Below are 12052 nucleotides of genomic sequence, written 5' to 3' on the forward strand. Positions count from 1 at the left end.
AAAGAAATTTAAAGGTTTGACAGATACAGGAGCAGACATGTCAATCATTTCTCTACAGCACTGGCCGTCCGCGTGGCCAATTCAACCTGCTCAATTTAACATATTTGGAGTTGATAAAGCTGCTGAAGTATATTAAAGTAGTTATATTTTGCATTGTGAAGGGCCCAATGGACAATCTGGGACTATTCAACCAATTATAACTTCTGTACCTATAAATTTTGGGGGAATAAATTTATTACAACAATGGGGAGCACAAGTTCTAATTCCAGAACAATTATATAGCCCTCAAAGTCAACATATGATGCATGAAATGGGGCATGTCCCTGGTATGGGACTAGAAAAAAATTTGCAAGTTTTGAAAAAACCACTTCAAATGGAAAGACCAAGTTCCTGCCAAAGATTAGGAAATAATTTTTGATGGCAGCCATTGTTAAGCCTCCAGAACCTATACTTTTAAAATGGTTAGCCAATAAGCCAATTTGGTTAGAACAATGGCCGCTAAGTAAAGAGAAACTGGAGGCTTTAGAGACATTTGTTAATGAACAATTAGAAAATGGGCACATAATTCCAACATTTTCTCCTTGGAATTCTCCAGTTTTCATAATTAAGAAAAAATCAGGTAAATGGAGAATGCTAACTGACTTAAGAGCCATCAATTCAGTTATACAACCTATGGGAGCATTACAGCCAGGATTGCCTTCTTCTGGTATAATTCCAAAAAATTGGTCTTTAATAGTCATAGATTTAAAAGACTGTTTCTTTACTATCCCTTTAGCTGAGCAAGACTGTGAATGGTTTACATTTACAATTCCTGCAGTAAACAACCTGCAGCCTGCTAAGCATTTTCATCGTTTCACAGATGTGTCTAGTAATGGTAAAGCTTCTTATTCTGGATCAAAAGGTAAAGTTTTCCAGACGCCCGATACTTCAGCTCAAAAAGCAGAGCTTGTGGTGGTAATTAAGATATTGACTGCTTTTGATATGCCTATTAATGTGATTTCTCATTCTTCATACGTGGTTTATTCCACACAGTTAATTGAAAATGCTTAGTTATGATTTCATACAGATGAACAACTAATGACTTTATTTACCCAATTGCAAACAGCGGTTAGAAGTAGAATGCACCCTTCCCCTTCAAGCTGTAGGGGGATAGATGTTCCGTCTGAACATCAGAAGGAACAAACTCCAGACACACCATCTTTAAGAACTGTAACACTCACCACGAGGGTCCAAGGCTTCATTCTTGAAGTCAGCAAGACCAAGAACCCACCAGAAGGAACCAATTCCAGACACATTTTGGCAACCATGAAGGGACTATCGCCAAGCAGTAAGCAGCATTGGGCCTCTTTCACTTGCTATTCTGTCCTATTTTTCCTTAGAATTTGGGGGCTAAATACCAGGCACCTGTCAGCCAGTTAAAAGCGACTAGCGTGGTTGCCGGACTAAAGACATGGGTGTCAGGCTTTCTGGGAAAGGGCTCTCTAACAATCCCCAATGCTTCAGAGTTGGGAGCATTGGTTTGCCTGGAACCAGCTTCTGCTTTTCCTGTACTTCTGGGTTGAGCCGAGGGTCAACAGAGAGGAAAGCCATTCAGCTCTGGGATCCTGACAGCAAGTTGGTTGACCCTGTGGCCATGAGCGGAACTCTCAAAGTCATGTCACCCAAGCGAGACTTGCCCATCTATCCTATCTATCCTGACCCTTGCCCCCTGGGTCCTAATGCCTGTCAGACAAACTTCCTCTCGCCTCTCTTCTCCAAGACTAGTCCCACTTCTAAAAACCATTCCCTGTCTCTGGTGCTTTTCTAGTTTCTCCTATAAGAATGATTTCTACTATAAACTCCAGGACTCTATTCCCTTCTTTTAACACCCAGGTTCACCAATCAGAAAGACATAATTTTTGAGTGGGGAGACCAACTATCCTTTTAAGATCCCTCCTCATACAAGCAGGCCTAACACAGGCTATTCCTGAAGCTAGGATATGAGGAGCCTCAGAAATTATATCCTTCCTATTCATATAAGTGAGGACAAAAGGTGTCACTCTCCCAATCCTGGAGATCCCTTCCCTCAATCAGGGAATGGCCCTCCATTTCATTTTTGGGGCATAACATCTTTATAGTACAGGGGCAAACTCCCAATACTAACAGGAGAAAGCTTAGGGCTCTAACAGGTTTTTGAGAATGTGTCAGTAAGGGCCACTAAATCCGATTTTTCTTGGTCCTCTTTGGGGTCTAGGAGGACAGGCAAGGGTCCAGCTTTTTGAGAATGCATCAGTAAGGGCCACTAACTCTGACCTTCCTCAGTCCTCCTTGTGGTGTAGGAGGAAAACTAGTGTTTCTGTTGCTGTGTTGGTGAGTGCAACTATTCCGATCAGCAGGGTCCAGGGACCATCACAGGTTCTTGGGCAGGGGGAGAAACAAACAAACCAAAACGGTGGGTGGTTTTGTCTTTCAGATGGGAAACACTCAGACATCAACAGGCTCACCCTTGAAATGCATCCTAAGCCATTGGGACCAATTTGATCTGCAAACCCTGAAAAAGAGGTGGCTCATTTTTTTTCCTGCACTACAGCCTGGCCCCAATATTCTCTCTCTGATGGGGAAAAATGGTCACCTGAGGGAAGTATAAATTACAATACTATCATGCAGCTTGACCTTTTCTGTAAGAGGGAAGGCAAATGGAGTGAAATACCTTATGTCCAAGCTTTCTTTTCATTGAAGGAGAATACACAACTAGGCAAAGCTTGCAATTTACATCCCACAGGAGGACCTCTCGGCTTACCCCATATCCTAGCCTCCCTATAGCTCCCTTTCCTATTAATGATAAGCCTCCTCTAATCTCCCCTGCTCAGAAGGAAATAAGCAAAGAAATCTCCAGAAGATCACAAAAACCCCCGGGCTATTGGTTATGTCCCCTTCAAGCTGTAGGGGGAGGGGAATTTGGCCCAACCCAGGTACACGTCCCCTTCTCCCTCTCTGATTTAAAGCAGATCAAGGCAGACCTGGGGAAGTTTTCAGATGATCATGATATGCACATAGATGTCCTACAGGGTCTAGGGCAAACCTTCGATCTCATTGGAGAGATGTCATGCTATTGTTAGATCAAACCCTGGCCTTTACTGAAAAGAATGTGGCTTTAGCTGCAGCCCAAGAGTTTGGAGATACCTGGTATCTTAGTCAAGTAAATGATAGACTGACAGCCAAAGAAAGGGACAAATTCCCTACTGGTCAGCAAGCCATCCCCAGTATGGATCCCCACTGGGACCTTGACTCAGATCATGGGGACTGGAGTCATAAACATCTGTTGACCTGTGTTCTAGAAGGACTAAGGATAATTAGGAAAAAGCCCATGAATTATTCAATGATGTCCACCATGACTCAGGGAAAGGAAGAAAATCCTTCTGCCTTCCTCGATTGGCTACGGGAGGCCTTAAGAAAATATACTTCCCTGTCACCTGACTCACTAGAGGGTCAATTGATTCTAAAAGATAAGCTTATTACCCAATCAGCTGCAGAAATCAGAAGAAAGCTCCAAAAGCGAGCCCTGGGCCCTGAACAAAATCTGGAGGCATTATTAAACCTGGCAACTTCAGTGTTCTATAATAGGGGCCAAGAAGAACAGGCCCAAAAGGAAAAGTGAGATCAGAGAAAGGCCACAGCCTTAGTCATGACCCTCAGACAAACAAACCTTGGTGGTTCAGAGAGGACAGAAAATGGAGCAGGCCAATCACCTGGTAGGGCTTGTTATCAGTGTGGTTTACAAGGACACTTTAAAAAAGATTGTCCAATGAGAAACAAGCCACCTCCGCATCCATGTCCACTCTGCCGAGGCAATCACTGGAAGGCACACTGCCCCAGAGTACGATGGTTCTCTGGGCCAGAAGCTCCCAACCAGATGATCCAACAACAGAACTTATGGTGCCCAGGGTAAGCACCAGCTCTTGTCATCACCCTCACTGAGCCCCGGCTATGTTTAACCATTGAGGACCAGGAAATTGACTTCCTCCTGGACACTGGTGTGGCCTTCTCAGTGTTAATCTCCTATCCTGGATGACTGTCCTCAAGGTCCATTACCATCTGAGGAATCCTGGGACAGCCTGTAACCAGGTATTTCTCCCACCTCCTCTGTTGTAATTGGGAGACTTTGCTCTTTTCACATGCCTTTCTTGTTATGCCTGAAAGTTCCACACCCTTATTAGGGAGGGATATGTTAGCCAAAGCTGGAGCTATTATCTACATGAATATGGGGAACAAGTTACCCATTCGTTGTCCCCTACTTGAGGAGGGTCTCAACCCTGAAGTCTGGGCATTGGAAGGACAATGTGGAAGGGCAAAAAAATGCCCACCCAGTCCAAATCAGGCTAAAAGATCCCACCACTTTTCCTTATCAAAGACAATATCCCTTAAGGCCTGAAGTTCATAAAGGATTACAGGATATTGTTAAACATTTAAAAGCTCAAGGCTTAGTAAGGAAATACAGCAGTCCCTGCAACACCCCAATTCTATGAGTACAAAAACCAAATGATCAGTGGAGACTAGTGCAAGATTTTAGACTCATCAGTGAGGCAGTAATTCCTCTATATCCAGTTGTACCCAACCCCTATACCCTGCTCTCTCAAATACCAGAGGAAGCAAAATGGTTCACTGCTCTGGACCTCAAGGATGCCTTCTTCTGTATTCCCCTGCACTCTGACTCCCAGTTTCTCTTTGCCTTTGAGGATCTCACAGACCACACATCCCAACTTACGTGGACCATCTTGCCCCAAGGGTTTAGGGATAGCCCTCATCTCTTTGGTCAGGCACTGGCTCAAGATCTAGGCCACTTCTCAAGTCCAGGCACTCTGGTCCTTCAGTATGTGGATGATTTACTTTTGGCTACCAGTTCAGAAGCCTCATGCCAGCAGGCTACTCTAGATTTCTTGAGCTTTCTAGCAAATCAAGGGTACGAGGCATCTAGGTCGAAGGCCCAGCTTTGCCTACAGCAGGTCAAATATCTAGGCCTAATCTTAGCCAGAGGAACCAGGGCCCTCAGCAAGGAATGAATACAGCCTATACTGGCTTATCCTTGCCCTAAGACATTAAAACAGTTGCGGGGGTTCCTTGGAATCACCGATTTTGCTGACTATGCATCCCTGGATACAGTGAGATATCCAGGCCCCTCTATACTCTAATCAAGGAGACCCAGAGGGCAAATACTCATCTAGTAGAATGGGAACCAGGGGCAGGAACAGCCTTCAAAACCTTAAAGCAGGCACTAGTACAAGCTCCAGCTTTAAGCCTTCCACAGGACAAAACTTCTCTTTATACGTAACAGAGGAGCTGGGATAGCTCTTGCAGTCTTTACTCAGACTCATGGGACATCCCCACAACCAGTGGCATACCTAAGTAAGGAAATTGATGTAGTAGCAAAAGGCTGGCCTCACTGTTTATGTGTAGTTGTGGCAGTGGCCATCTCAGTGTCAGAGGCTATAAAAATAATACAAGGAAAGGATCTCACTGTCTGGACCATTCATGATGTAAATGGCATACTAGGTGCCAAAGGAAGTTTATGGCTATCAGACAACTGCCTACTTAGATACCAAGTGCTACTCCTTGAGGGACCGGTGCTTCAAATACGTACGTGTGTGGCCCTCAACCCTGCCACTTTTCTCCCAGAGGATAGGGAACCAATTGAGCATGACCACCAACAAATTATAGTCCAGACTTATGCCACCCGAGATGATCTCTTAGAAGTCCCCTTAGTTAGTTCTGACCTTAACCTATATACCAATGGAAGTTCATTTGTGAAGAATGGGATATGAAGGGCAGGTTATGCCATAGTTAGTAACGGTACTTGAAAGTAAGCCTCTTCCCCCAGGGACCAGCTCCCAGTTAGCAGAACTAGTGGCACTTACCTGAGCCTTAGAACTGGGAAAAGGAAGAAGAATAAATGTGTGTACAGTTAGCAAGTATGCTTATCTAATCCTACATGCCCATGCTGCAATATGGAAAGAAAGGGAGTTCCTAACCTCTGGGGGAACCCTCATTAAATACCACAAGGAAATTATGGAGTTATTGAATGCAGTGCAAAAACCCAAGGAAGTGGCAGTCTTACACTGCCAAAGCCATCAGAAAAGTGAAGGACAAAAGGCAGAAGGAAACCGTCAGGCAGATGCTGAGGCCAAAATTGCTGCCAGGTGGAACCTCCCATTCCCGCAAAAAAATGGGTCTTTACCAACTTAACCTACCACCCTTGTTATGAAGGAAAAGACCCTTTCCAACTTCTAAATATGCAATCATTAGCCAACTTCCCCATCTCTGATAGGACCAAGAATATACTAACAGGACATGCAATCCAACTTTTGTGTTCTTACATTTCCAACGTCACCTATTACACAAGCAATGAAAAGCCCATACATGGCCCTGTAACTATGAATACCATCTTAACTTTCCAAGCCCCTTTATGCATCCAACGCAACCTGTTATCAGGTCTGCCCCTGGGGCACCTACTACCCCATCAGTGTAATTATACCCAACAACTTCAAGGCCCAACTGATCATAGTAACTTCCGAGTCACTCAAACAGCTCCATTCAGACAGTTTGTCCACTTCTCTGGGTCCCCAAAAATCATCACCTCCTCCCTGCTTAACAAACAGTCCAAGTTTTGTAATGACAAACATACTCCCTCCATGACCATTCATCCCTGGACCCCCTGCATCAGTGCCCCCACCACTAGTGAATGCCTTCTCATCCCTTCTTTCAATCACTCTCTCAAATGGTTCCTAGTAGATACAAAAAGGCTTTTTCTCCAATGGGAAAATAGAACACAGGGAGCCACTCAGTTTGCTCCCAACACCCCTTTCCATTCCTTCACTGGAGCTACCTTGGCAATTACTCTAGAAGTATGGGAAAATGAAAATAACAAACTCACACACCTTTTTAACATACACAACCAGTTCTGTCTACCCAGCCAATGTATATTCTTCTTATGTGGAACATCAACATATCTGCCTCTCCACTAACTGGACAGGCATCTGTACCTTAGTCTTTCTAAGTCCTAACATTAACATTGCCCCAGGAAATCAGACCCTATCAGTATCCCTCAAAGCTCAAGTCTGTCAGCACAGAGCCATACAACTAATACCCCTACTTATAGGGTTAGGAATGGCTACTGCTAAAGGAACCGGAATAGCCGGTTTATCTACTTCATTATCCTACTGCCACACACTCTCAAAGGATTTCTCTGACAGTTTGCAAGAGATAACGAAATCTATCCTTACTCCAGAATCCCAAATAGACTCTTTCGCAGCAGTGACTCTCCAAAACTGCTGAGGCTAGACCTCCTCACTGCTGAGAAAGGAGGACTCTGCACCTTCTTAGGGGAAGAGTGTTGTTTTTACACTAACCAGTCAGGGATAGTACGAGATGCTACCCGGCATTTACAGGAAAAGGCTTCCAAAATCAGACAACATCTTTCAAGCTCTTATACCAGCCTCTGGAGTTGGCAACATGGCTTCTCCCCTTTCTAGGTCCCATGGCAGCCATCTTGCTATTACTCACCTTCGGGCCCGGTATTTTTAACCTCCTTGTCAAATTTGTTTCCTCTAGGATCGAGGCTATCAAGCTACAGATGATCTTACAAATGGAACCCCAAATGAGCTCAACTAACAACTACCAAGGACCCCTGGACCAACCCGCTGGCCCTTTCAATGGCCTAAAGAGTTCCCCTCTGGAGGACACTACAACTGCAGGGTCCTTTCTTTGCCCCTATCCAGCAGGAAGTAGCTAGAGTGGTCATCACCCAATTCCCAACAGCAGTTGGGGTGTCTTGTTAAGTGGGGAGATTGAGAGGTGAAGCCAGCTGGGCTTCTGGGTTGGGTGGGGACTTGGAGAACTTTTCTGTCTAGCTAGAGGATTGTAAACACACCAATCAGTGCTATGTGTCTAGCTAGAGGTTTGTAAATGCACCAATCAGCACTCTGTAAAAACGGACCAATCAGCACTCTGTAAAATGGACCAATCAGTAGGATGCGGGCAGGGCCAAATAAGGGAATAAAAGCTGGCCACCTGAGTCAGCAGTGGCAACCCACTCGGGTCCCCTTCCATGCTGTGGAAGCTTTGTTCTTTCACTCTTCACAATAAATCTTGCTGCTGCTCACTCTTTGGGTCCACACCACCTTTATGAGCTGCAACACTCACTGCGAAGGTCTTCAGCTTCACTCCTGAAGTCAGCGAGACCACGAACCCATGGGGAGGAACAATCGACTTCAGACATGCCACCTTTAAGAGCTGTAACACTCACTGCGAAGGTCTGTGGCTTCACTCCTGAAGTCAGCAAGACCACGAACCCACTGGAAGGAAGAAATTTCGGACACATCTGAACATCTGAATGAACAAACTCTGGACACGCCATCTTTAAGAACTGTAACACTCACTGTGAGGGTTCATGGGTTCATTCTTGAAGTCAGCAAGACCAAGAACCCACCAGAAGGAACCAATTCCGGACACAGACTCACTGCAACCTCCACCTCCTGGATTCAAGTGATTCTCCTGCCTCAGCCTCCGGAGTAGCTGTGCCTACAGGCACAAGCCACCACACACGGCTAATTTTTTGTATTTTTAGTAGAGATGGGGTTTCACCATGTTGCTCAGGCTGGTCTCCAACTCCTGAGCTCAAGTGATCCACCTGTCTCGGCCTCCCAAAGTGTTGGGATACATGTGTGAGCCACTGTGCCCGGCCTCCTCTGGATTAGTTCTTACAGGAATAGATTAGTTCTTGCTCGAGCAAGTTGTTATAAAAGTGAGGTTGCCTCTAGTGTTTTGCATCCTCACATATGTCTGCTTACCTCTTGACCTCTCTCTGTGTTATGACCCAGCACAAAAGCCCTTACCAGAAGCCAAGCAGATGCTGATGCCACACCCCTTGGACTTCTCAGTCTACAGAGCCATGAAACGAATAAACCTCTCTTTATAAATTATCCAGCTTCAGGTATTCTGTTATAGCAACACAAAATGGACGAAGACAACTACCTTATCATAATAATACTATGATAGTCAAAATAGATAATGTCTGTTAAAATGCTTAAACAGTTTACACACGTTATTTTTACCTCATTAGAGTGATTTATTATTCATTAATATGTAGAGCAGCATTAAGGTATAACAACATAAACATTGAGATCATTAATCAAGGGTCCTGAGATTCTACTCTTGTTCTCCATAAATTAGCTGAGTAAATATGGTAAGTCATTTAACATTTGGGCTTCAGGTTTCTTAATCTATAAAAATGACAAAGTATCATTTAGAACCTTCTAGCTAGGAAATATATCATTTTGTGATCTCCTAAATCTAGTTTTTTTCTCACATACTGGCTCTAATTTTTTGAGATAGGATCTTGCTCTGTTGCCCAGACTGGAGTGCAGTGGCATGAACATGGCTCACTGCAGCCTTAACCTCCTGGGCTCCAGTGATCCTCCTGCTTCAGCCACTCGAGTAGCTGGGACTACAGGCTCATGTCACCACACCCAGCTATTTAAGAACTTTTTTTTGTAGAGGCAGGGTCTCCCTGTGTTGCCCAGCCTGATCTCAAACTCCTGGGATGAAGTGATCCTCCTGCTTGGGACTCTCAAAGTGCTGGGATTGCAGGTGTGAGCCACCATACCCAGACTTTAAGTTTTCTCTATTAAGAGACTGTTGCATTTTCCCCCTTTGCTCATGCCTTGCTGAATGAGTTGAGTGCACATACATGATTATTACAAAGTACAACATGCTTAGGAAAATCTGTGACAAATAGAGGAATCTTTTTTCTTTTGAAACTTTCACTTATTTTGTTTTGTTTAGTTTTGAGTAGGCAATGCATTTACATTGCCCAAATTTAAAACACTATCACAAGTCACACAATGAGGAGTCCAACTTCCTACCTTACCTGTCTACCCTTTTTCCTGCTCCCATTTTTTCCTATCTATCCTTCCAGTGTTTTTCTATGCCAAGTTCAAATGATATAAATATAAATTTTCTTATTTTCTCCCTTTTCCTGTTAGACATTTCACTTTTTTCACTTAATAGTATATTCTGGAAATTACCATACATCAGTACACAGTGAGCCACCTTCTCTCTAGTTTTTTTTCAGCTTCATATTATTCAATTGTGGGGCAGAACCATAGTTTATTGAATGAATCTCCTAAAGAAGGACACTTGTTTCTAACATTTTGCTATTGCAGAAAATGCTGCAAATAAATAACACTGTGCAGACTTCATTTTATATTATGTACAGGTGGATCTGTAGAATACATTCCCAGAAGTGGGAACCCTAGGTTAAAGAGTAAATTAATTTGCGCATTAAAAAAATGTCATATTGGCCTTAACAAAATTGAGACTATTTTGCACAACTAGCAATGTATCAGAGTGCCTGTTTTCCAACAGCCTCACCAACACAATGTGTTCAAATGTTGAATTTTTAAATAATCTGATAGGAAAAATGACATGCAGAGTGATTTTAATTTGCGTGAAGAAGCTTTTAAAGAAAGAGTTGAGAAGTTGAAATTTAAGGTGAGTTTTGATAGATTCTTCAAAGTGTCCCCCAAATAGGAAGCTTCACAGTTAATGTTTAAAACCTCTTGTAAATAACAATTGGCATTGAAAGAAAGCAAAATATTACTTTGTAATCCGAAGTATATTGTCAGCCAAGTTCAAGGAAGCTTGGTAATTGCTCAATCTTAAATTACTCAATCTTAAACCAGAGAGATGAAGTGGTGCATTCGTGACCACTGGCCTTGAACTGTTAACTCTCCCAGCGCTGTTAACAGGAGTTTCTTCATTGTTGGGCTCTTATCCATCCTTCATATTAGTAATTCCAAATTAATAACTGCATATTAATAAACTCCAAAGGTGACATTACACATATCTGATGTCTTGAACAAATATCCTAGAGCAAAGTGGCAGAAACAAGATGAGAAACAGAGCTGGAGGAAATTTTGTTTTATATTGAGTCAATTAAACTCCCTCTCTCCCTGTTTCTCTTTCTTTCTCTCTCTCTCTCTCTCCACATGCACACACCAGCAGAAGCATTTCTTTCAGATTCAAAGAAGTGGAAATGTGTGCATTCCATTCTATTTTCCTCTCAACTCTAAAGGTAAATAAATCAATTTTAAGGAGTTGAATGCTATATAAAATATGTACTATACCTGCTGTGTTTACTTGTTATAAAAACTACTATACCAAAGGCTATCTAATATCATTTCTTTTGGTGACACCCCAAACCTCATTTAATTTAAATATACACTGTACTTTAGTTTATTCATCAGTAAAATGGTAAGGATGCTGATCCCCACCTTATAGGGTTTTTGGTGAAGATTAAATAAGTCAAAACAGCCAGGTGCAGTGGCTCACGCCTGTAATGCCAGCACTTTGGGAGGCCAAGGTGGGCGGATTGCCTGAGGTCAGGAGTTTGAGACCAGCCTGACCAACATGGAGAAACCCCGTCTCTACTAAAAATACAAAATTAGCCGTGCGTGGTGGCACATGCCTGTAATCCCAGCTACTTGGGAGGCTGAGGCAGGAAAATCGCTTGAAGCCGGGAGGTGGCGGTTGTGGTGAGCCGAGATTGTGCCATTGCACTCCAGCCTGGGTAACAAGAGTGAAACTTTGTCTCAAAAAAAAAAAAAAAAGAAAAATTAAGTCAAAACATGTAAAGCATCTAGAAGAATGCATGGCATACAGTAAACACTCAACACATGGTAGCTATTATTATATTTATTCTTTTATTAGTGAAAATTTTCCTATGACTGCAGACTCTTTGGATATAGTACTTATGGCAGGCATCACACACATTATTTCTAATGTGTATGTTGAGGAAAGTCTTGAAACCTTAATTAATGCACAGTTGTCAGAAAAAGCTTGGAAAGTGGAAAAATGAACGAATATACAATTTTGTATATTTGTGTTACAATTCTGTCCTTAGAAAGGACTCTCTCATGGTTAGTGTCAATGCTGAACTTGTTTGATATATAAACCCAAGTACCGGAGGCAAAATAATGGTCCCATAGATGTCCATGCCCTAATCCTTGAAATTTGTGAA

At 43.0% G+C, this 12052-nt stretch overlaps 1 long non-coding RNA gene across 1 annotated transcript in view; it reads left to right on the forward strand.

Annotated features, from left to right (window-relative positions):
* LINC02732 (long intergenic non-protein coding RNA 2732) overlaps positions 1-8249 on the forward strand; it is a 51795-nt gene extending 43546 nt beyond the window's left edge. Inside the window, exon 4 of the long non-coding RNA NR_135100.2 lies at positions 7585-8249. This is a non-coding gene — a long non-coding RNA (long intergenic non-protein coding RNA 2732). The remainder of the gene's footprint in view (positions 1-7584) is intronic.
* The last annotated feature ends 3803 nt before the right edge of the window (positions 8250-12052 follow it).

The sequence above is a fragment of the Homo sapiens genome, chromosome 11 (assembly GCF_000001405.40).
Source record: "Homo sapiens chromosome 11, GRCh38.p14 Primary Assembly".
Lineage (NCBI taxonomy): Eukaryota > Metazoa > Chordata > Mammalia > Primates > Hominidae > Homo > Homo sapiens.